General features: G+C 37.6%; 1 long non-coding RNA gene across 8 annotated transcripts in view; it reads right to left on the reverse strand.

The window, feature by feature from the left end:
• The window catches only part of LOC101930053 (uncharacterized), a 121,382-nt gene that overhangs the window by 62,024 nt on the left and 31,989 nt on the right, over nt 1-27,369 (reverse strand). For 3 of the 8 annotated variants that reach the window (XR_001746603.2, XR_001746602.3, XR_929428.2), the window contains exon 3: nt 5,771-5,813. The exons of 4 other annotated variants lie outside the window; for them this stretch is intronic. This is a non-coding gene — a long non-coding RNA (uncharacterized LOC101930053). Of the gene's footprint in view, nt 1-1,581; nt 2,466-5,770; nt 5,814-27,369 lie in introns of those variants that run through there. One more of the 8 variants, XR_001746604.2, reaches the window with a different exon arrangement.

Raw genomic sequence — 27,369 nt, forward strand, 5'->3', positions numbered from 1 at the left:
AACACTTTTACACTGTTGGTGGGACTGTAAACTAGTTCAACCATTGTGGAAGTCAGTGTGGCGCTTCCTTAGGGATCTAGAACTAGAAATACCATTTGACCCAGCCATCCCATTACTGGGTATATACCGAAAGGATTATAAATCATACTGCTATAAAGACACATGCACACGTATGTTTACTGTGGCACTATTCACAATAGCAAAGACTTAGAACTAAGCCAAATGTCCAACAATGATAGACTGGATTAAGAAAATGTGGCACATGTACACCATGGAATACTATGCAGCCATAACAAATGATGAGTTCATGTCCTTTATAGGGACATGGATGAAGCTGGAAACCATCATTCTCAGCAAACTATCGCAAGGGCAAAAAACCAAACACCGCATGTTCTCACTCATAGGTGGGAATTGAACAATGAGAACACATGGACACAAGAAGGGGAACATCACACACCAGGGCCTGTTGTGGGGTGGGGGGAGGGGGGAGGGATAGCATTAGGAGATATACCTAATGTTAAATGACGAGTTAATGGGTGCAGGACACCAACGTGGCACATGTATACATATGTAACTAACCTGCACGTTGTGCACATGTACCCTAAAACTTAAAGTATAATAAAAAAAAAAGAAAGCAAGCATATATTTTGGGGGGGTTGTAATATTAACCAGCTAATTTGCTATTTCTTGTTCATCTTTTCCTATAGTTTTCAGTGAGCATATGGTGTCCTTTCCTTGCTATAATACAGCTTTGTCCACCTACCTCCTTTCTGCTGTTATGATCAAGTATATTATATTTCTACATGTTATAGGTCTGCAATATAATTACACACATATTGCTTTATACCATATTTTTTTAAGTAAGTTAAGAGAAAGGAGAAGAAATATGCATTTATGCTATCTTTCATAATTACATAATCACCTCTCTTAGTGCTTGGTTTCTTTATGTAGATTTAAATTACTGTGGTCACTTGCTTTCAGCCTGAAGAACTTCCTTTGCTATTTCTTGTAAGGCCATTTCTGTATTGTAGCAGCTTTAGATAGTGATTTTCCTCCGTTTCCTGTGCTTGTTCATGTTACTTGCTTATTTATTTAGTAACTTGGGTAGGGTATTTTATTAAGTCCATTTCCCATGCAGTGTGAAGCCTCTGATGTCATTCTTATGAGGGTTCAGTCTTGGGCATGGGCATAGTCACCCTGGGATGACCGGTTTTGGCAGGCTCTCTTTGTCTCTATTTCTTATCTGTCTCCTAAACTGTATGTCTCTGTAGCACCACATCCAGCTGTTAAGTTTCATTAATTGCTGGCTGATGACTCCATTTTTTAAAAATAATGTGCTGGTGCATAAATTGCTTCACACTCTGATCCAATTAAATTTGGGTGTCTTGGCAGGGCCAGGCTTTGAGGGTTTCTCTGACCACAGAAGGACTCATCTTAGAGTTATCTCTTCACCTGCTTTGTCTGGTAATACAGCTGGCTTATAGTTTTGCTTGTTGCTCTCATGGAGCTACCAGCCTCTCCTTAATTGCTTATTACCAAAATCTCCATGGTCCTTGAGAGTTCCTTTAGGATTGAACTTACCCGCACTTTGTTCCAAATAAATTCAATTTCTTCGGGGGAAGTTTCTGCATCTTATGTTATTTTGACTTGCCTCTTCATCTGGCAAAATCTCTGAACCACTGCTCTGGAGATGACAGCAGGCAAAATCACCCACTTCTCTTGGAATACCATGTTTCATGAACTGAGCACTGAGCTGGGGCAGTAGCCTCTGGTCTTCTCAGCTTGCCTCTTCCAGTATGGAATATTCTCCTTATGAAAAGATTGGGGTTAAGATAATTTGGCCCAAGTTTTATTACCCTTCTGTACCTAGAGTAGAACCAGTGAAATTGGAGCTGGGTAGGTGAATGAAGTTCCTGATGTCTTGGCCACACTTGCCTGGAAACTAGCCTTCGTAACATGCAGCTAGGAGAGGATAAAAAATGTTGGCAATCTCTTTATCCCAGGAGAATACCTTACCACTTGACTGGTAGCTTAGAGGAAAGGGAGCCCCTTTGGAGTGGGGCGTCTATCATGCTGAGCTTTAGGGGTAAGGGTAAAGGAGGGAGTGGATAGTGGCATACGTGACACAGGATCTCACTGTTACTACCAAGATTTAGTAGATTTTATTATTTTCTTTTTTTTTAAATTTCAAAGTACTTAATTGAGAACTAAAGATTATATGTATTCAAGGTGTGCAATGTGATTATTTGATACACATGTACACTGTGTAATAATTGTCACAATGAAATTAATCAACACATCCATCACCACTTAGGCTGTGCACTAGATCCCCAGACCTCATTCATCTTTTAACTGAGAGTTTATACCCTTTCATCAAATATCTCCATTTCCTCACCCCCAGCCTCTGGCAACACTATTCTACTCTCTGTTTCTCTGAGTTTAATTTTTTAGATTTCACATATAAGTGAGATTATACAGTACTTTTATTTCTGTGTTTAGCTTATTTCACTTAGCATAGTGTCCTCCAGGTTCATCCATGTTGTCTCACAGATGGCAGGACTTCCTTATTTTTTATGGTTGCCTAATGTTTCATTGTATGTATACATACACATACACACACCACATTTTTAAAAATTAATTTATCTGTCAATGGACAATTGGCTTATTAGGCCAAGGGGATATGCAGAAAACAGAACCCCCTCATGTGTAACCTTCTGCAGGCCTAAATTTTTGTGGGATGGACAAGAACCCCATTGTGATGGTTAATACTGAGTGTCAACTTGACTGGATTAAATGATGCAAAGTATTAATCCTGGGTGTGTCTGTGAGGGTGTTGCCAAAGGAGATTAACATTTGAGTCAGTGGGCTGGGAAAGGCAGACCCACCCTTACTCCCGGTGGGCACCGTCTAATCAGCTGCCAGCATAGCTAGACTATAAAGCAGGCAGAAAAATGTGAAAAGACTAGACTGGCCTAGTTTCCCAGCCTACATCTTTTTCCCATGCTGGATGCTTCCTGGCCTGGAACATCAAACTCTAAGTCCTTCAGTTTTGGGACTCAGACTGGCTCTTCTTGCTCCTCAGCTTACAGATGGCCTATTGTGGGACCTTGTGATCATATGAGTTAATACTTATTAAACTCCCCTTCATATATATATACATATATATACACATACATATATACACATATATACATATATATACATATATACACATATATATTCACATATATACATATATGTGAATATATATGTGTATATATGTATATATATGTATATATATGTGTATATATGTATGTATATATATGTATATATGTATATATGTGTATATATGTGTATATATATATACATATACATACACACACACACACACACATATCTGTATCTATCTATCTCCTATTAGTTCTGTCCCTCCAGAGAACCCTGACTAATACACCTATCTTTAGCTGAACTAAGGAAAAGTCCTGCAACAATATGTTTTGCAAATATTTTCTCCCATTTTGGAGACTTTCTTGTCATTTTGCTGGTTGTTTCCTTTGCTGTGCAGAACTTTTTAGTTTTATGTAGTCCCACTTGTTTATTTTTGCTTTGTTGTCTGTGCTTTTGGTGTGCTATCCAAAAAACTATTGCCATGGCAATGTCAAGGTGCTTCTCCCTGTTTTTTTTTTTTTTTCTAGGAGTTTTATGGCTTAAGATATTACATTTAAGTCTTTGATCTATTTTAATTTATATATATAGTGTAAGAAAAGGGTTTGATTTTTTTTTTTTTTTGCATCTGGATATCCAGTCTGCCCAACACCATTTATTGAAGAAACTTTCCTTACATTGTGTGTTTTTGGCGCACTAGAAAAATATTAGTTGACCATATAGATTTTCTTGAATAAATATGTCTTCATTTCCTGTATGCCCTTAGGAAATTTACAGAGACTTTAAATAGGTGCTAGTTTTTAAAAATAATTTTCACCAGTTAAAGCTGTTTTGTATGGGAGCAGCTTTGAGCTCCTCACACTGTCATTCCAGAAGTTGTATCTCTCCAATTATCTGTAGAAGAAATTTAACTGATTAGGGTAAAATAAACAAATTAATGTAAATGCAAAGAGAACAAACCTGAAGTCTAACTAATTTGGTCATTACCAGTAATTATTATTTACAGATAGATTTATTTGTAGTTCATTAACTGCAAACTTGCTTCATTTGTGTGCTGTAACTCATTAATCAGAAAGCTGCATTGAGTGATGGGACTCTAATGTGGTTTGACTTTTTAAATAAATTTCAAGATTTGAATATCAAATTTCAGTGGAGCATTAAATAAGCACTTTAGGGGATGGAAGAATTGGTGATTATATAAAGCAAATACTTCAGTATCTTAAGTTTCAGTGTGCTTATATACCCAGGTTTTAGTATGTCTGCACTGTACCATATCTTATGTTTGCAGGATTAGCATAGTAAAAAATTATGTTATTTTATAGAACACACAGCCTCTGGTTTAATTAACTAAGAAATATTTATAGAGCGCCCTCGGTCTAGAAATTCAACAAATGTAATACAAGATACCTATCTCCAAGAAGCTAATTATTGAACTGTTAATATATTCTCCAAACACATCAAAAATAATTTCTAAGATATAATAGTTTAAAAACAGATGAGTAGTGCAGATGGATTAAGATGAAGTGAGGCCCTTAAAAGTTGAAGTATTTTCTGTTAAATCATTGGCTTAAGATTATAGCAATCTTTTTTTCCCCTTTTTGTTGGAAGTCTTCAGTTTTGATGGGGTACAGTGGGGAAGGTTTGTTTCTGCTCCATGCAGTGTTATCTGAGGAGTGGTAGGTAGTGGATAATGATTAACTGACGACTGGAGAATTTGCTTCCAATACAGCTCCCTCATGTAACTATTTAGAATTACTAAGGAATTTCTTGGATTCTACGTGAATCTTGATTTGTTTAGATGCTCCTGTGCCCCATGAAGGGAGAGTCTGAGAGTTTGCATCATCTCATCTTTATATAATCCGAATCCAAATACTTCCAGAAGAGAGAAAGTAGTTTTCTTTTTCTGTCTCCTTGGGAATAATCCACCTTGGAGATTAAGAGAAGGTTGAGTAGTTCCTGGCTTCAAGCAATTAAAACAAGGCTGAGGGGGCAGACAAAATTATCACACTGAGTGGAAATTTTCATACGAATTACAGTAATTTCCTCCAAAGAACTATGTGGCTTTATTAATAGTCACCTATTAGGTAGCCAAAGCTACTAGAGACTGTAGTCCATAATGGACTATGCTGATGATTTGCCTCAGAAAAAGTGTTTGCTGCCAAGGGGTTGCACTGATACGAGAGAAGGCAAGGGGTGTCAGGAAGGTAATTTAGATGAAAGCCACCACTTCTGAGAGCAATGACTACTAAGGAGAGTTCCTCCTGTAGAAAGCTCCAGGGTATAGCCTCCAGTGGGAACCAACTTTAGCTCCTGACCATCAGTAGTAATGGAAGAAGTTCCAGCAGGGCTAAAGATGCTACTATCTTGGCTGGAAATGTCAGCAGGCACTGCTGTGAGCCCCTGAAGGGAAACTATCAAAGAAGCTAAATTTGGATTCAAAAATAGGGAGCATTCTTTGGAGGTCAATGGCCCAACCTTCCCTCCTAGTGAGCATTGACCTTAACATTTATTGGAAGAGTAGATTGACATTTAATAGACTTCAATCAAAAAGCATATAGCATAGCGGAAAGAGCATGAGCCTTGGAGGCTGTTTGACATGGATTTTCATCCATGCTCTGCCACTTACTAGTTTGTGCCCATTGGTGATTTGTCTCAGTTCTTGTCATCCACTAAAAAAAAAAAAAAAAAAAAAAAAAATAGGGTGCTATAGAGAGGGCTGAATGAGATAATACATGCAATAGAAACTAGCACATTGCAGGTACTCAAAATATAATAGCCAATATTGTTCTTTCCTGTGTGAATTAGAAACTGATGAAACTCCAAGGCCTCTAACCAATTATTGAGCCCTTGAATTATGTCCTGCCTCTTGTATTCTTCTAGAAATCATCTAGGGGAATGTAGTATGGGAAAGTTATTAAATAAGTACTAGAGGCAGGCCCTGTGCCTGTGAAAGCCAGCACACTGTTACATAGAGAAGGACTTGGAATCAGTCCTAGCAATTTCATGAGCTCTAGAGACCAGCATTCCCATTTTATGTATTTCCAGTGATAACTGCAGGACACATCATTAATACACCGGTGAAAGAATTGTAGTCACAAAAGATTTGGTTTCTGCAAAAGATTTTCAACATAAGTTTCCTTTACCTCATGTATAAAAGATGTAAGCCAAATTTCTCTTTTAAAAATCCTCTGCTTGGTTTATTTCCCCTTGCCCAGCTCTATGTGTAATAGCTAATGTTTTGGGGATCACTTTGCAATTCAAAATCTGAGCCTTTCAAAGATGCTTCTTGATTTGATGTTCCAGGTGGCTGAAGAGGAAATGGACTTCAAGTGATTGTTCGTGGCTTTGAAAGGTCATGATCTACTTCCTGCAGTAGGTTTAATGTGCACCTGAACTTTGGCCCTCACATTTTTCTGATTATGGAACAAAATCATATGACAGTGGCAAGTAGCTCATTCTCACGCGCATCCAATGTTCAATCAAGGCAGGGTTCAAAGCTGATGGGCACTTCCGTGATTGGCATTTCAGAAGTGCATTTATTTCAGTCCTACACTGCATTTCCTACTTAACTCCAGCGTCAAAGGAATTTGAACAATTTGGCTGGTGGGCACAAGGGAAGGTTACGCCTCACTGTATGTATAATCATTTACACACTTAGTGCTCTCCAAAATGGGTCATTCTTTCACAACGCAAATTTTGCATGATTTATCTATAAAAGATAAAGAAATTGACATATTTCAAGAAAATATTGCAAGAATTATGGATGTGAGCATTTGAAGCATCATTATACATTAAAAATCCATAAAGTTTTCAGACATACTGCTATTTTGGTATAGCATCAAATCATTGTTCTAATAAGGAACACTTTTGAACATTATGAAATATTATTGGTATCTAGAGTTTGGTGCAGATAATACAATTAAAGTGTTTTTATATTATCATTTATACACTCAATCTCAATGATGTAAATTCTTTTTATTATATATCCTGTTTGTTTGTTTTTTTATTTCAACAGGTTTTTGGGGAATAGGTGGTGTTTGGTTCCTTGAGTAAGTTCTTTAACGGTGATTTCTGAAATTTTGGTGCACCCATCACCCAAGCAGTGTACACTGCACCCAGTGGGTGGTCTTTTATCCCTCGCCCCCCTCCCACCCTTCACCCCAAGTCCCCAAAGTCCATTGTATCATTCTTATGCCTTTGAGTCCTCATAGTTTAGCTCCCACTTATGACTAGGAACACACGATGTTTGGTTTTCTAGTCCTGAGTTACTTCACTTAGAATAATGGTCTACAATTCCATAATGAAGTAAATTCAGATGTTTAATTACCAAATATTTATTAAGAGTCTGTTTTGTGTCAGGCCCTGGACTAGCACTGCATTTTAATAAGGTCTCATTCTAGCTGTATGTACAGACAACAGATTTTATACACACAGATGCGACAATTAGATTGTTACACATGCTATGAGGGAAAGAGTGTGCAGGGATGACAAAGCTTATGAGGTGATCTACTTTAGATAGAACAGTGAAGGAAGAACTCCCTAGGACTAAAGTGAAGTCACATATAAGGTGAGAGCTGAAGAATGAGAAACCAGCCAATTTTTTCACTTTGTTTTGTTGGCTTTTAATTTTTGTCGGTATACAGTAGGTGTATATATTTGTGGGGTACATGAGATATTTTGATAGAGGCAATGCAATACATAATAATCACATCAGGGTAAATAAGGTATCCATCACCTCAAGCATCTATCCTTTGTGCTGCAAACAATATAATTATACCCTTTCAGTTATTTTAAAATGTACAGTTAAATTATTATTGACTATAGTAATCTTGTTGTGCTTTCAAATACTAGTTCTTATTCATTCTAATTTTTGTACACATTAACCATCTCCACTTCTGCTAACCCCTTCACCCCCACTACCCTTCCCATGGTTCTATGTTTTCTCACATATTATATAGGGGCAATCATAAAATTCACTTAGCATCATTCTGACACTCCTCCTTGCTCATGCTTCTCTAGTTACATTATGTAGTTCCTCAGCATGCCAAACTCTTCCCTTGCCATGATTCTGTGTTGTTTTTCCTCTGCCTGAAACACTTTTCCTGCTACTCTTCAAATGGCTGGCTTCTCCAAAATATCAATGAAATAAAAACTTCATTTTTTGAAAAGATAAGCAAAATTGACAAACATTAGCTAGACTAAGAAAAAAAGAGAGAGGATCCAAATATGTAAAATCAGAGATGAAAAAGAAGGCTTTACAACCAATACCACAGAAATTCAAAGAATCATTTGTGGCTTCTACAAGGAACTGTAAGTCAATAAATTTGAAAATCTAGAAGAAATGGATAAATTCCTAGACACATACAACCAAGACTGAACCATGAAGAAATCCAAAACCTGAACAGACCAATAACATGTAATGAGTTCAAAGCCATAATAAAAAGTCTCCCAGTAAAAACAGGCCAGGACCCGATGGCTTCACTGCTGAATTCTGCTGAACATTTAAAGAACTAATGCCAATCCTGTTTAAACTATTCCAAAAAATAGAGGAGGAAGGAATGACTTCAAAGTAATTCTATGAGGCCAGTATTACCAGGATACCAAAACCAGACAAAGACACATCAAAAAAAGAAAACTACAAGCCAATATCCCTGATGAATATTTATGCAAAAATCTTCAACACAATACTAGCAAACTGAATTCAACAACACATTGAAAAGATCATTCATCATGACCAAGCATGATTTATCCCAGGGATCCAAGGATGGTTTAACCTACATAAATCAATCGATGTAATATATTTTATATCAACAGAATGGAGATCACAAACCATAGGATAATTTCAACTGATGCTGAAAAAGTACTTGATAAAATTCAACATCCCTCATGATAAAAAAAACATAAAAACTGGGTACAGAAGGAACATACTTCAACATAATAAAAGCCATATATGATAAACCCACAGCTAGTGTCATACTGAATGGGGAAAAACAGAAAGCCTTTCTTCTAAAATCTGAAACATGGCAAGAATGCCTACTGTTACCACTGTTATTCAACATAGTACTGGAAGACCTAGCTAGAGCAAACGGACAAGAGAAAGAAATAAAGGGCATGTAAATTAGAAAGGAAGAAGTCAAATTATCTTTGTTTGTAGATAATATGATCTAATATCTGGAAAAACCTAAAGACTTCAAATTGAGCCTTCTCTACAATTTGACTCTCTCTCAGTTAGGTCCTGGGACTAATTTTTAAGCCAATAGGCCTTCTGCCTATAGTAATAAAGGGTCTCTTTAAGTGCTGTCAGAGAGGTCTTTTGGTTTTGGGTACATTATGTCCTGAATTAGTTCATTATTCTTTGCCTAAAAATATTACAGAGGTATCTCTTGAGGCAGATACTTTGCAAGATGATAATATTCCTTCCTCAAGATTTGTCCCCCTCCCATCATGGCATTAACCTTGTTGGACTGGTTAATATTAACCATAAGCAAACTGATGTAAAGTAACTTTTCAAATACTGTTTCCAATTTCTATATCCAAAATGTTTCCATTGCTCAACACATTTTTGAAATTCCATTTATGAAAATATCTCATATTTGTGCAGTGCTTATGTGGCTCTGAATGTCTATAATATTACTTTTTGTGATGGATGAATGATTAAAAGATTTTTGAAGTCCAGAAATAAGATTAGATTTGCACAATACTTACTGTGACCTTTACTCAAATAGGTCCTTTCAATGACAGTAAAATTTGGTAATTTAGTTCTTAAATGTCCTATTCATGTCAGGTCATTAAGAAGTCATTTTTTTTTTTTCTTTCTGACCCACCTCCTAGCTCTGCTGTAATACTGTCAAGGTCTCCTGGGATAGTTGCTGTGTTTTACTTGTAAGGGCTGTACATTTTATTGGTGGATGAAGTGATTCATCCACATGCCAAATACAAGCAAAGTTCTTTAGCATGACAGATATTACACAAAAAGAGAAAACACTTGGAATAAACGGCAACATACAGGTGCAGCTTCCTTTGGAGCTTTTCAAATCCGGAAAATATTGAGTTAGGGAAAAAAGAGTTTAGTGCACTCAGTTTGTAGTTCAACCCGTTTACTAGATTATCCTTTTCTATACCAAATAATATTGAATAATCAATCTGCATAGCACCAAATGGCTTCAGAGAATAATGGAAACATATGTGGGTCACCTGTGGAGTAACACTTTTTTTATGTAGCATCTTAGAATTAGAATTGTCCCAACTTGCTTTGTGAGAGCAGGAAGCACTCAATAAATACTTGGTGAAATGAATCCAGGTCAGACTATGTCCCCGGTGCTGGGATACAAAGGTAAATAAGACACATTCTACCCCGGAGGAGCTCAGAGTTTGGCAGAAAAATCGGAGATGCTAACAAAGGAGGATAATAAAATATGATATAAGCAAGGTGCTATAGGAATCTAGTAAAGGGGAAGATTGTTAGGTGGAATCAGGGTTTGCAGGAAAGGTGATACCCTTCAAGATCCGCTAGGTAGAGAAACAAGGGGAGATAGGAAAGAGAAGAGGGATTTCTAGGATGCAACTATGACGTTTCAATGAGTAAAAGCACTGAGTATTTTCATGAGATTCTATATAGTTTGGTTTCAAGGAAGCATGAAGGTGCTAAAAGGAGGACAATAAATTCGGTCTAGAAAGCAGGTTGAGGTCAGGTTGTGAAAAGCACCATATATGATTTATGGTGCTTTTGTGACCATACCCAAAGGAGTTTGGATTTCATTTTCTCCATGGAAAAGTCAGTTTTTAAATTTCCATATTGCCTACAGGACTAGGTTTTCCAAAGACTATTCCTGGCATGCTAGTTTTATAGGATGTTAGTAAGAGTTATACCAAAACACCTATGCAGGTTTTAGTTGAAAGGGGAAGGATGATTGTCTGGCATGGACAGTATGATACAGTGGTTATGAGAAATAACATTTATAGAGAATTTTTTTCTGAAACATGCACAGTCCATCCAGCTCTTAGATAGCGTAAGTTAAGCCAAACTCAACTGCATACTTAAACCCAATAGTCTGCCTCTTCCTAGAATGGATTTTACCATTCTACTCTTCCACAAGATGAGAATGGCCTATGTTGAGAATTGTAAGAAGAAATGGTTTGATTCAACATTTGTGAGTGCTATCTTCAAATAGCTGGTTCGTCTTTATCTTAGTGTGTAGGTGCTGTAGTTGATTGTGTATCTGTTTTTGCCACAAACACTAGGAATCTTAGAGCCAAATTTGTGTCTCCCTACCAACAGAGGATCCTTAGAACATTCATTTTGGGGTAATAACTAAACCCAGGATTTTTCTGACTTAAACCAGTTATATTCCCTTTGCTACAATGCCTTCATCTATTTATTTGATTCTATTGCAAGCATTTTGCAACCTCTCTCTGATCCTTTTGTGGGGGAAAAGCTGAGCTTAAGAAATGTAATGAACATATATCACTTACCACAGCATCTGGCATACAGTGCCTACTAACTAAGGATTTGTTTTTAATATGATGATTTTTTATCAACCCCACCCATTTCATTTCACAGTCCTCCCCTATTGACAGAAGATGAAAAGAAGCATATCTGACTATCAGAAATGTTTTTCAAATTCTACTTTCATGGTCTCAAGTTCCATTAAGCACATTAATAAATAGACAAATATTAGCCAAGCAATTACTGATTGCAAGGCCCTGAGCTTTGTGCCATGAAGGAGACAAATCAATAAGTCAACGAGGTAAGTGGAGCTTCTGATCTGATTAGGGAGGTATGATATTACTATGTGTCTCAGGATCCTCATCTGTAAAATGGGAAAAATAATATAACCTACCCCATGGAGTCACTGTAAGAATTCTGACTTCATACATGTAAAGTGCAAATATAGTGCCTGGCACATAAGTACTCAGTTAATGTCATTTATTTCATTAGTTTTTATTACTGTAAATTATCTTTGTGTGCAGGCAACACCAGAATATGCAATCATTAGGGGCTCTGTGTTCAGACATAGGGGAAATTACTTCCAGCTCAAGCCATTCAGGAAGGCTTCCCAGAAGTAGTAGGATTTGAGTTAGTCTTGAAGGATGGAGAGAATTCAACTAGGCAGAGAGAAACGTGGACATTGATCCTTGTGGGATCTCAATTTAAAAAGGTGGAGGAGGGGGAATATCCCCTTGGAAGAGACCTCACGAAGGCAGGGGATTCATGAAGGGGGCTAGTAGGTGGCAAGCCAGGCAAAGGCTCCTGCCTCCTCTTCCCTAAAGGCTCACACCATCAGCAATGACATCCTGCCTCTTCATGGGCCCTCCCAAACCATCCCCAGAAAGAAAATTGGGTGCTATTTTCTGAAAAACCTCTGAGCATCCTTCTGCATCCTTTAAGTACCTTTTAGTCATTAGGAAAATTACTTCATGGTGTGGTAATTATAGGGAGCTACAGACACCCTGTCCATTCTCCCACTAAATTCCTACACGCAGACTGAAAAAAACTATGATTCTATTTCAGGCAGGCGAGTGCTTTGGAAAGAAAGTGCAGGAAATGTGAAATGAGAAGGTGGCAGCAGAATTCCCATCTGTGCAGACACTGAAAGTCCTTTATTACAGAATGTGAGAGAGAAATCCGGCAAGTTGTGGCAGTGAAGGCTGGACTGGCTCCAATGTGCAGGCTGCAGAAGGCAGCTGCCAAGATGGCTGAAGCTATCTCAGAGACAAGGGTTCCAGGCTTCTTACCCACATTTATCTGTTTGTTTAAAGAGAGAAAATGTATATTTTTTAAATATCCCATAGTCTGATATTTATAGACCTCTTAAAATTTGGAGGAGAAAAACTTCACCAGCTCAAAGACGTTAATTTGGATAATTAAGCACAATTCTTGTAGCAAGAAGAGGAAAACCAATTTTAAACTGCAACGGTGATATGTGAATCAATAAGGTCTGTGACAGATTTGATTGATGTGTGCAAGCCAATAAGCTTATACCCATTGAAGACAGAAGCCTTAAGAGCTGACGGATGGAGATAACAAGAAAAGAGGAAAATTCCAATTCTAACTTGATTATTTATACCCTGAATTATTCCAAATTATTTGCACTTTCTGAAATTCAAGTTGAGAAATCAAACTATCCAAAGAACACCTGCTGACACAATTGAGCATCACCTTTCTTAAAGCAAATGCTAAACTCTGTCTAGGAAGATGGTTTTTCTTTTACTTTTCTTTTCTACCATCCAGCACCATTCTGAGTGGGGAAAAGAGCATCAATCAAGCTGGCGACGGATTTGAGTCAAACTCACACTCTCCATTTCCATCACTATCCTAAACGCCACAGAGAAATATGTTTCACAAAGGGAACTTTCCTCAATTAAAATTTTACGGAAGTATAAAATACAGACACATGCATAAATCATAAACATACAACTTGATGAATTTTTACAGTGTAATGATGTCCATGTATCCAGCACCCAAATCAAGAAATAGAACATTACTGGGGTCCCAGTTGCCCCCTATCAGTTACTCTATACCTTCAAGGTAACTACTCTCATGATTTCTAATACCATGGATGCGACTTTTGCCTGCTTTTGAGCTTATATGAATGGAATTATACATCACTGACTCTTTTATGTCTGGCTTCTTTCACTCAACGTTATGTTTGTGAGATTCATTCATGTTGTTGCATGTAGTTGTAATTCATTCAATCTCATTGTTGTATAGGATTTATTTAAAGTGACATGATTTACTATCCATTCTACAGGTAGTAGACATTTAGATTATATTCTGTTTGGAATTAACTCAAGTAATGCTTGTGTAAACATTCTTGAACATATCTTGCAAATATTAGGATTATACCCACGAGCAGAATTGCTGCATAGAGTTTTGAGTGCTTGCTATTTACTGAGCTAGGCTAGATGCTAGAATAAAACCACAAAAAGACCCAGTCTCTTCTTGCAAGGACCTTAGGATCCAGGGAAGGACAGAGATGACTGACAAATACTATTCCATGTTCATAGGAGCTATGCACAAGAGTATCTTGGGCTGGATGGGGGTACAGTGGAAGGTGGTGGAGTCAGGCGAGGCTTTCCAGTGGAAATGACACTCAAATGGACTTCTGAAGGATAAGGAGGCATTGGCCAGGGCACAAAGTGCAAGGGCAGAAGGAACAGCATGTAGAAAAGCAGAGATGGGTGAGAAAGCAGGTCAAGTCCAGAAACCTCCTGTTATGCCATAGAAAGAGGTGGGAAATATGTGGTAAAGATGAGGGCTGAGTAGATAAGTTGGAATCCTATCATGAAGAACCTTGTTCACCGTCTAGGAAATACATACATAATCCTGAATGTGACGGGAGCTACAGAAAATTCAAGAGACATGGAGTGACCAGATCCACTCTTTCTGGTGGTTATATGGAGTCTGGACTGGAGAAGGAGAGCCTACAAGCTAGAAACTGACGAGAATGCATGCTTTGTCTGGAAACAGGAATGAGGTATGGTATCTTAGCAAATAGAAACTAGGTGATTCTTTGAGGAAAGTCTTGCTTTGGCCCAATATCCAAGCCAAGAATCTGGATGGCTTCTAATGGAATACAGAGTGTTGCGGGGAGAGGGGAAAGGAGCAAGGGAGGTGTGTGTATGTGTGGGTGCCAAGTTTCAATGTGCAGAAACCACACACAGTAATTCATGCAGAAAGCTTTTGGGGCCAGCAGGCCACCTGCTGACATCCAGACTGGTGCAGGCAAGGAGCCCTCTGCTTGAAAGCGGAAAGGGAAAGCATATGTGTGGGGAGTTCAAGCCAAAAAGCAAATTCACTACAACATGAGTCTGCAAAGTGGTGCCAAGATCTCATAGCAGCTTTCCGTCCCCTCTGGAGACCGAGATGGAATGCTGAGTGGAGATGAGCAAGGTCTAATCCTGCCCAGCTCCCTGCTGGAGTCACAAGAGGATTCTAGAAAGTCTCGTTGTCACTGATTGAAATAATAAATTCAGTAGGAATATTTTATGTAAATTTTCCTAAAGTGGTGGCTTGGTTGCAGTCCAGAAAGTTGATGTTAGGACTAAGAATGGAAATTTGATACAGCAGAGAAGTGGGTAAAATAAAATATGACAGAAATATGCTACTTTATTAAGTTCAATTTTACATTTAAAAAATAAAATTATTTCTAGTTTTTATAAGTATAAAATTGGTAATATATTAGAAAGTATAAAAGTTCATGAGAGTTGAAAATATTTGCCCCAAATTCTACTGGCCAAAGAAAACAAGTTGGAAGAGATGTCTTCTTGCCTGCCTGCCTTTCATCCTTTATTCCTTTTCTTTCTTCCTCCCTTTTTTTCTTTCTTTCCTTATTTTAATGTATACATTCCTACATAGTTGTAATTGTAAAGCAACATTTATCTTTTGCCATAATTGGCATAATCTCATCTTATTAAAAATTTGTTATGACCTAAGTTTATATTTTATTTTTATTAAAATATTACAATTTCATTGCAAAATGTAAAAGAAAATGCTATGCAAAAAGCAAAGAAAATAAAAACCACCATTGTCTCTACTACTCAGAGATAATCATTATCAATTCTTACTACATTTCTTTCTTGACATTTTATGTGTTCTTGTCAACAATTTAACAAAATTATTGTTTTTTATATTTAATTTTGTAATTTTTATTATTGCCTATGTATTATGGACATCTTTTCTAACTGTATCCCATTGTATAGCATCACATTTTATTTAAATAATTCCTATTTTTGGACACTTAAGATATCCCAATTTTTCATAATATAAGAAATGCTATTCTTGTCCTAATTTTAAAATATATAAATATAAATACACACACATACATACACACACACACAGACTTCCCATGGAATCGCTCAGCAAAAAAAAATTTACATGAATTTTTAGGGCTTTGGCTACATACTCTCAAGTTTTTATCTGGAAAGTACATACCAACTTATACTACCAGCAGCAAAGTAATACCCATTTCTCTACAACTTCACCAACACTGGCTATTACTAATCATTAAAGAAAAACTATGTGGTATTCTGGTGGGTGACAATGAAATTATGTCCTTTATTACTAATGAGGTTAGATATTTCTTTATGTGTATACGGCACATTTTTATTTCTTCTTTTTTTGAACTGCCTGTTCAAAGCATAATTTTTATACTGGCATAGTTCTGTCATGTGGATATACCATTGTTTATCTAAGCATTCTCTATTCAAAGGGGAAAAGCAAAGTATATGTTCGAGGAGTTCAAGCCAAGAAACAAATACATTACTATATGTGTCTGGAACAATATAACAAGATCTTACTGCCTTCCAACCCTTCTAGAGACTTCCAGAGTTTTGCTCGTCATATATAATTCTGGAGTGAACATCTTTGAATACAAAGGGTTTTTGTATGTGTATGTTTGGGGTATTTAAGATAGATTCCTGGAAATATTGCTACTAGTTCAAAAAGTATGGCTATTATGAATATACTAATTGTACCCAGTATTACTTTAATGCAGAATTATCCTTTATTATAGCAATTATATAAACAACCATTAGTCTGAGAACAGATGTCTATAAAGGCAAAGTAGACTAAATTCTGGTACTAGCAGGACAAGGTGTTCTTTTGTATTTGATATGAAATATCAAGTAAGATAGGAAGCATATCTTGCCAAAGGTTCCACAAGCATGGGGTCATTCATTCATCTCATCATACAAACACACAGGATTCTGGAGTTACTAGCCAGAACAACATGTCTTTCAATCCTAATCATGCATATGTTAGTGAAGACGGAAGCAGAAATGGAACTGTGAGGTCAAAGATGTTTGTACTAACTCCTTTTCCTTGTTCTTTTGGGATCAACTTCTGGCACTATGTAGCATGGTTACTCTAGAAATTATTGGGAAAAAAATGCTTTAGAAATTATCCCTTCATTTTTTTAATGGGAGAGGCTGGGAAGTAAATTTAATTAAAGCCTTGAGATCAGTGTGTGAGTATACGCACATATATGTGTGCTTATGTACATGGTGGTAAGGAATAAAAGAGTTTTTACATTGTATTTTAATGTGCTTTTCAGGTGTTTCTGATGTTTGGTCAGACTTGTCTTCTGGTCGCTATTGGGCTGATGTCCCCTGTTATTCTAATAATTGTCCCTTCATATATTGTCTGTCTTTTCTCTCCACTTGCTCTTCAACTAGAATTCCCTTATCTTCACTGTTCTGCTCTTCATATGATGCATCTAGCTGTAGATTTATATATTATGCACAGGACTCAGTGTGCTTCTTCAATCTGAGAATCTGCTTCTGCTTTTTATAATTTCTGGAAAATTCAATCTGCTTCTGCCTTTTATAAGTTCTGGAAAATTCCCAGCCATTTTCGCTGAAAATATTGCCCCTTCACCATTTTCTGCTTTTGCAATTTCCATTAGACCTAAGTTGTAACTTTTAATTTAATCTTCCATATCTCTTGATTTCCCTTTCGGATTGTAGCCCTCTTTATCTTTCTCTGCAGCAGTTTGGGTAATTTCCTCAGATACAACTTTCATATCACCAACTCTCTCTTCAACCATGCCTGATCTGCTTTTAAAGTTGGCCACTATGTTTAACTTTATTCATGATTTTTCATTTTGAATTGTTATATTTGGTTGTTTTTCAGATGTTCCTTTCTTTTTTAGTCCTATTTTTTTCATGAGAGTTTTTATTCCTCTCTTTATCTCTTTAATGAGTGTAAATATATTTAATTTCTAGACAGTTTTAGGTTGTTACATTATCTCAGGTTCTTGGGGGTGCTATTTCTCTCACATGTGTCTGCTGACTCTCCCTTATTTGGATCTTTTTTTTTTTTTTTTTTTTTGGTTTGTTCTTTTTCATTGTAAACTTATTTTCAGCTAGAGTATTTTTTCCCTGTGGCACCCCTGTGTACTTTAAGATGTGGTAGTATCATTTTAGACAAGTTTTACATTTGATTCTTCTGGAAACTCCAGTAGTTTTACTTGCTTGAAGTAATTATGACATCTACATTAATATATTCATTTGAGATTCCTGTACTATGCAAATAGTGTAAAATTTGGATTCAATACCCATGCACAGCACAGATTTGTTTTCAGAGACAGAGTCTTGCTCTAACACCAGGCTGGAGTGCAGTGGCTCAGTCATAGAAGTCTACAGCCTTGAACTCCTGGGCTCAAGCAATCCTCCTGCCTCAGCCTTCCAAGTAGCTGAGACTATAGGTGCACCACCAAGACCAGTTAATTTTTTTATTTTTATATTTTGTAAGGACGGGGTCTTGTTGTGTTGCCCAGGCTGGTCTTGAATTCCTTGCCTCAAGCTATACTCCCACTTTGGCATTTCAGAGCTCTGAGATTTTGTAAAGATTGGGTCTTGCTATGCTGCCCAGGCTGGTCTGGAATTCCTGGCCTCAAGTGATTCCCCCATCCTGGCCTCTCAAAGCTCTGGGATTACAGGCATGAGCCACCATGCCCAGCCAGCACAGGTTTTTAAATTTCCATTTATTGTGGGGAACTTTTTCTCATCCAGATATCTAATCAGTGAGAATTTTACCAGTTGCTTTCTAGTACACGAACAATGTGTTTTGTAGTCCCCTTGTATGAGGGAAGCAGGTCTTCAGTTCTAAGTCCTCACCTTTCACAGGCCCAAGGTTAAGTCCTTTATTGTGTATGTGTGTTAAAGCCTAACCCATAGCTGTTAGATCCTATAGCCATGTCTAATATCCTCTGTACTGTTCTGGTATCAGCTCATGCATTTACCACATTGACTATAAGATTCTTCCTTCTCTGTGGCACATGGACATTTCCTCTTTTTTTTTTCTTTTCTTTCTGTTTACCTGTCTGTCTCTGTTTCAGCTACGTATGCAAAATAGTTTTGTTTTATCCAGCAGTTCTGTGTGCCTCAGCACATAGAAGAATTTCAGTATGCTAAGGAGGTGGAGCTAGAAAGCTATGTCAGTCAGGTTTGTAGACTACTGACTGGTGCAATAGAAATACATGACCTTTGGAACTGAAACCTGAGACTGAGCTGTGACTTCACCACTTACCATCTGAGTAAGCTGTGCCTAGTCATTCAACCTCTCCAAGCTATATTTTTCTCATCAATAAAAAATAGATAATGTTAGTATTGATCTTCATTACATGGTTTTCCTTATTGCTCTAAATTCACTTTTATTTAAATTCAAACCATTTTCTCCATCCCACTTCCTAGAAAAGCTAGAGAAGATTGCAATTTTCTTATATATCTTATTCAATATTTTCCCTTATTAAACAAATATGTTATGAAGGAATAAAGCAGTTATTGATTGAATGATCTTATTACCTTTCCTCAATGTACTTTTCACATACCAATGGACTGAGAAAATCTCTGACAGAAAAAAGACCTAAAATAGGAAAGAAATGATAAATTCCATTTCTTGGTAAATATGCAAGGATGGGGTTGGGGTGGAGTTACATTTCTGTGGAGTTTCACCCCTCACAGTTTTCATCTCTCTTTCTCTCCCTGGAGAGTGCAAATGAGTGAAACCTTATATTAGTTTAGACGTTCTGCTTCGATACATGTTTAAGAGCCAATAAACCTGTCAGAGTAGATTTCAGGCTGAGACAAGGTGAATGGCCTCACAGTAATTCTGCCAGCGCCTCAGGGTACCAGGCAACATAAGCAGAGAGGTCACCAAATGCCTGCTCACCCCATGCCCAGGCGCAGAGATATTCCACATAGGAATATAAGGACCTTTCCCAAAACGTTGTGTTTGGCATGTGGTAAAATTCTTTGTCAAACAGCAGAGCAGTCCGATAAGAAAACAACAACAACAACAACGAAGAAAAACAGAGCAAAAAATGAAGGCACATAGAAATAACAGGTCCTCTTAGTGATTCTGGTGGTTTGTAAACTCCACGTGAAAGTTATTATTTATCATGGAAGGCAATGTGGAGGTGTACACACCCAAAAGCTATCCACTTTTACCCCACAGACAGACTTACACAAAAACACTAGGTTGTCCATGGCAGTTTAATTTTTTTGTTTTTACTTTCTATAGCTTGTTTCTAGTAATGAAGACCTATAGGTACTGATCTATAGGGATTGCAAAATTAAGAAGCCAATTCCACCAATTATTCCACAGTGTGCCCTATAGGCAACAAGCCAAGTCCTACTGCATAGGACTTCCTATTGGCATTTTTTAATATCTAACTTTTAAAATATGAACAGATAGCCAAGAATTATCTGACATTTCAAGAAAGCCTCCAGCAGAAAAGACAGAGACATCAAATCAGAAGAAAGGAAGAAAGGAAACTCAAAAGAAACAGAGACAATATACTAAAGAAGAAAACTTTAATCAAACTATGTTTAATGATCTCAGAGGTATAAGATAAGCTATTTATCCTTAAAGTTAGGATGCTAGTAAGAAAAAAAGAGAAATAAATGAAGCTTATTGTTTAAAAAATAAAACGTTCTTAGAAATTTAAATATGATAACTAAAATTATGTGTGCATGTGTGTGTAAGATTTGGAAAATAAAGGTAAGGAAATATCTCAAAACATTAAGAAAAAGTAGAAGGCAAATCAGAAGAAACTAAAAGTCCAGTGCAGCAGGCCCAACATCCTACCAATAGGATCTAGAAAAAAATATGTCAAGAGAAAGATTATGGGAAAATTTTTTGGACCTGAAGAACGTGAGTCCCCAGATTGAAAAGTCCTATTCAGCAACTAGCACAATAAATGCAAAAAGACCCAGCTCTGTCATAAAACTTCAGTACACCAGGAAGACAGTAAAATTTTCAAGAAAGGAAACAGTAGGTCACATACACATGATCAAGAATAAAACGGCAGTCAATACTCAGTACTAGCAAGGAAAAATACAAATGTTTTCTGACATTTAAGATTTAAGAAATCTTGACCCATGCACATTTTCTCAAGAAGTCTTCTAAAGGATGAGCTTCACCTAATGCAAGAAAGACAAAACAATATCCAGAAAATAAGGAATCAACACAGGAGGAAGATGAAAGAAATTCCCTGGACAATAATGAAAATAAGTCTTAATATGATAACCGTACACAGGTTTAGAAAACAAGCAACACAGATACAAGAGTCCAGAGACATATGGAGGAAGAGCTCCATTAAAAAAAAAATTCAACTAATTGGATTAGGTGGTACAGCTGCTAATATAGGTAGTTATACATTGAGATACTGTATGTCTTGTGCTTGGGAACATGAGTGCAGGAGTCAGACTGCCTGGGTTCGAGTCCTGGCTCTGCCACTTACCATCTTATGTGAGCCAATTAATTTCTCTGTGCTTCATGCTTCCCATCTGTGAAATACAGATTATAGTTACCTACCTTATAGAGTTATCATAAAAAAATTAAATGCGACACTGATACTGTGATGAAAACAGTGTCTTGAATATTGCTGGATGTTAGGGGAAGCAAAGACAGTAACACGTACAGAGAAAACTAAGTCATTTTTTTAAATGAGTAAACTATCAGCTCTAGGAAAAAGGATAATTGAACAAGAAAGGAATTGTAATGATAGTATGCTCCTTGGCTCAGCAGAAAATATTTCCATTGTTGGAATAATGCAAATCCTGAAAATTGTGATGTAATAAACTGGAAGGATAAAGGGAGGAAAACGGGACTTAAGGGAGAAATCGTTATTTACCATAATAGAAGTGCGTAGAGGTAGTATTCTATTTAGAATATGGAATTAGATATTAAAATAAATGGCTAAACACATCTGAATTAATCCTCAAGGAACAGGACTTGGTTAACTATGGCATTTGGTTAGCATAAATAAAGAAAGAAGGAGGCAAGGAAGGAAGGAGTACAGGAGAACCGGCGCTGCTGCAGTGATTCTGAAGCACGAAGTTCTAAGAGAAGCCTCAAGATTGTAGGTCATGGTGGAAGTGCCCACCGTGGAGTCTGCACTGCTAGGAAGCATTCCCAGGAAGGGAAGAACCTTCTATTCCACGAACCCATAACATGGGTCTCCATTACCCTGAAAGGGTTTTTCCTGTCTGGAAAAGGAACCTGCAGAGATAATCTAATAGTGAAGGAGGGAAAACTTTTTGTTTTTACCTCTTCTACCTAGAACATGAGTTAAGTTTGGCTTGACACTACAATCACCCATTAAAAAAAAAAAAAAAAAAGAAAGAGTACATTTTGGTTTGAAATAGTATTTCCTAAAACAGCAAGTCACAGTACTAAAAACTGACATTTAATTACAGGTAACTGACATATAAATAAAGGGATAAATATCCCTGTTGTGCTCTGAAATTAAATGAATAAAAAAGGATTCTGCCAAATAATCATTAAAAAGATGAAAGAGAAGGCATGCAGGTTGCCCGCATAAGGATAACACTTAAGTGAGGCCTGAATTTGTCTGAGCTGCACATGATGTTTCAAAGCCATGGCAAGCTGTGAACAGCCTGAGGGTTGTGAACATCCGGGTGTCATGACACTTTTCTACATTAGTGACCCATCACCGGGTGGCGCCTCCATCCTTGGGCAGGACCTGTTGAGGTCCTCAGCACTCACACTGTCTTTAAAGGCTGCACAAAAACCACAAGACGAGCCAGCATGGAGGAAAACAACTCATTAGGCATTTTCCTGTCTGGGGTACAGATGTGTTTGGATTTCAATGAAGGAGCTGAAACTTCAACAGCTGAGCTAGAGACAGCTGTTCCAGAAACCCAGAGGGAGACCTAAAGGTCTTATTTTGTGTTGTGTCTTGGCAACACTCCTTGCTATTGCTGACCCGTAGCAAAGGGCCAGTCCTTTGTGATAGGCCTTGAGGCGATCATATTTCCAGCTGTGTCAAGAAGAAGCAGTGTGACACAGTCACAGGAACTCCTTGCTTGGGTCACAGAAACACCAAGACACCACCTAAGCATGAAATCTCACACAAAATATAAGCAAGTAGATATTTTATGACAGCTATGGGAAGTGACGATTTTGTAAGAAGCAAAATAAATGCAAATGAATTTTTTTTTAACATGTAAAATTCTGAGCCAAATGGCTTTGGATTTATAATTCCCAGGGATTTTGGTGCTTTCAGTAATGAGCAGGAGCATGGAGTTTTGGGGGGGTTAAATCCTTTAAGTGTTTCTCTATAAAACCAATTCATGCCATGCCAGCTTTTCTGTCCTAAAAAAGTATTTCAGTTTACTTTCTCACTTTTTCCCCTAGGTTAGAGCAATGTTTTTTTGTTTTTGTTTCTGTTTTTTTAAAAAAAGCAGGGGCAGGGGAAGGGGAGAGATTGAGGAAGGGAACAAATACTTATGAAATTCCCATCCTGTGTGGGCATCGTGGGAGAAACTTTGTCCACATAATCATAAAAATTCTCATAATTCTAAGCCAGGAATTATTATTATGATACCCATTTTAAACATAAAGAAACTGAAACTCACTGTAAAACATGTTTAAAATCACAAGGCTAATGTGAAGCAGAGCTGAGATTAAAAATGAGGTCTGTTTGAATATTAAATCTATACCTTTTCCCCATATCTGCATCCCAGTGTTCATTGCAGCTTTATTCATAGTAGCCAAGAAATGGAACCAACCTAAGTGTCCATCAGTGGATGAACTGATAAAGAAAACATGTTCTATATACACAACATAATACTATTCAGCCTTAAGATAAAAGGAAATTTTGTCATTTGTAACAACATGCACAAAACTCGAGGACATTATATTAAGTGAAATAAACCAGGCACAGAAAGACAAGGCACCATCTCACCTATGTGTGGAATCTAAAAAATTGAAACCCCTAAGAGCAAAGAGTAGAATGGTAGGCACTGGGGGCTGAGGGAAGGGTGAGTGAGGAGATATTGATCAAAGGTTATAAAATTTTAGTTAGACAGGAGGAATACGCTCAAGAAATCTATTGAATAACATGGTGACTATTGCTATTAACAATTTATTGTATACTTGAAAATGGCTGAGAGTAGATGCTAAATGTTATTACCACATACAAAAAGGTAGGTGAGACAATGCATATGTTAATTAGCTTAATTTACCCATTCCACAGTTTACACATATTTCAAAACATCATGTTATACGTCATGAATGTATACGATTTTAGCATACATATATATACATACTAAAAATTAATAATTATTACTAAAGGAGGTATAAATAAGTGAAGAAAGAAAGAAAAAGAACTATGCTCTTTCCTTTTGACCATGTTTCTTCTCATAAATGTCAAACACAGACCTTTGCTTTCTCTTATGCAGTAAGGCAGCGCTGTCACTAACAGAGGTAATACATTCCTTTTATTCATGTAAGCCATATAGGATAGTCCATAAATTAAAACTGTGAGAATAAATGTGCTTATCTCTAGTTTATCAGTTAAGATTCCTGCTGTGACATATTTCTCTTTTGCCAAATATTCTAAAATCTTCCTTATTCATTGCTTCTCATCTTGCCCAAGTAAAATTGGCAAGCACTGTTATCCTCACTTAATAACACAAGTTACCCAGGGAATAGCCTGGATTAGAAGCTATGATGCCCACAGCTTATGGATAAGCACTCCGAGTCTTCTATTTGGACTCAGTGAAGAATTCAGAGGTCTATTTGGTAGAAATTCAGTTAAGAGTCTGGCAGATTTGATTATTTCAGAGCCACGGTTTCCAGGACACACTACCTTTGCCTGTTTTCCTTCTCTGATTGCTTCTTTTTAGACGGAATTTTCCTATTCCCCTAACCTTTTAGAATTGGTATAACATACAGTTCTGGTCCCAGACTTCTCCCTGATTATTCTCTTTCTTCATTTAGCCAAAAAGTATTTGAGCTTCTATTACATGTACATGTCAACTGCCTTTTACTTACAGGCCTATTTCAGCTCCTACTGTGGGTCTATCTCCTGTTAAACAACAAGCTCTTCCTTCAGTGTCCCTCAACCCTAAGGGTGATAGCAGCTTCTAGCTGGTACTAATCGCTAGGCTACTCCCTGCTTCTTGTAGGGCTTTCCAGCTTCTCCACCATCCTTTTAACCAAGTATCTGTATTAAATCCAATCTGTATGAAAGACCTAGGAGGCTATTTTCCTGGCTGGATCCTGATGGGCACAAACAAACAGCATTCTTAGTTACAAACTATAGAAACAAACTTTAGCATTTTGGCAGGAAAGAAATATAAAGATATTGGAGAGCTCAAAGAATCTCTAAGAGGATCAAAGAAGCAGGCTGGGAGACCACAAAGGAAGGAGCAGTGCTCAAAAATCTCAAAGTAGAACTGTTCCGGCAAAGCCACCATTACTGCCATGCTCCACGTCTTCGGTTGCACCACATGTCACCAACACTGGATTCTGGAAGCTACCATTCAGATTGTTGTATCTTCCACCATCTGTCAACAGAATCAATTCTGGGCTTTCCTACCTCTTCACGACATTAGCTTCCAGTTTAGAGACTGAGGTGGGTATGCCTGATTGGCAAAGTACGGGTCATGTGCCTAATCCTGGCTGCAAGGACAGCTGGAGATGCAAGTGTATCTGACATTTTCAGTTCCTATCATGGGAGATGGGCTCTTCATAGGCAGTGACATTCCCTAAAAATAGCACAGGGATTTAGATGCTTAGGGGACATTTTATTTTCAACAGACCCTGAGACAAGGATTGAAGTATAAATGGAGGAGGGGAGATCCCAGGAATCACTGGTAAGGAAGTGGGGGAAGTGAGACAAAAGAGAAAACAGTCAATGGACAGTAAATTATTCATCAGGTTTCCACTATGGGTGACTAGAATTAAATACCACTGGGGAGATTCTGGGAGTCGGTGTAGAACACACACCTTGGAGCGGTCCCACCCAAGGGCCAGGGAGCTGGTGTACTTATCCATCACCTGTTATCTGACACTGTTGAAAACATCTGGGAGGCAGGGTTCATTCCCTCACATTCCCAGCCTCTCTTCCTCTTGCATGAGCTGAATGGGCCTCAACATTCAGAGGAAACTTTCAGACAAATAAATGTAGGCACTGGCAGTTGAAAGTTGGGCAGGTGTGATCTGGAAAAGAAAATGGAGGTGGCAGGACACCCACCACATCTGCTGCAGGAGATAAGATCCACAGGGACCTGGAACCTGGGAGCATCAAGGGTATATCAGTAAGCAAGAGAGAAGCATTCCTGGCCTCACTAAGCTGGTGGCCTCCCGGTTCAGACATGTGAAAAGGAAGTCCAAACAGTGTGCAAGAGCAACAGAGGCAATACAGGGAACCAGAGCTACACTTCTGGCCTCCAAGACCCACGAGCATGGGGTCAGCATCCTAGTCATTTTTCAACCCCATTGCCTATAGTAGTATATATTCAATACATGTTTTCTGGCCCTACACTGAATAGTCAGGCACATTCCTGATGCATTATATTTATTGTCTCTGACTATTACCCAATAAGGAAGGTGTGCCCCCATTTTACAGTGGAGGAAGTTAAGGCACTCCTAATTCCTCCTAACTGCCTTACTACTAACATCCTTCATATCTCAGCTTTGATGTAATCTCTCCAAAAGGCCTGCCTGCACCATGTGCCTCCATCTCCAAGCTGAGGTTATCTTTATCACAGAACTTATCCTCTGTTTTGTAATTGGCAACTCATTCTCATGAATTTTCATGAGCAGAGCTCTTTAAGAGCAGGAACTGTGTCTGTGTTGTTTAGCAATGTATACTCAGCATCTAGGCTTATGCTGGCACATTTAATTTGCACCAATCATTTTTTGAATGACTTGAATAAGTGACTAAGGCTCAGAGACATTAAGTAACGTGACCAGTCACAAAGCTAAGAGGTGACACAGCTGAGGTTTCAACTATAGTCTGTCTGACCCCTAAATCTCTCCTACATTTTGCTGAGGGGTAAGCAACTTAATCCATTTACAGCAACCAGAAAATTTAAGTTGGATTAAATGCTTGTATTTTAAGCTCAAAAGTAACGGGTAGGGAGTCTAAGAACTTCTCATAATCATCGGGTTGAAGAATTACCAAACAGAACTCTGGACCCAAAGCTAGAAGAAGGTTCCTAGAGGACAAGACTCCTTATCCAAACTTTGCCTGGGCTGGACAACATTTAAAACTCTCCCTTAATTTAACATTTTAAGATTCTAAGGTTTTTAACCTAATCTCGCGGTAAAAGGAAAATTTTTCCCTCTAGCACCAATAACTAATCGACCTCATCAGCTTACTAAAATAACTTTAAAATATTAGAGATAATTTTAAGGCACCTGATATGGTTTTTTATGCTCCTTTAGACATTGCAGAAAAGTCGTCT

This window comes from Homo sapiens, chromosome 9 (assembly GCF_000001405.40).
Source record: "Homo sapiens chromosome 9, GRCh38.p14 Primary Assembly".
In the NCBI taxonomy this organism is placed as follows: Eukaryota; Metazoa; Chordata; class Mammalia; order Primates; family Hominidae; genus Homo; species Homo sapiens.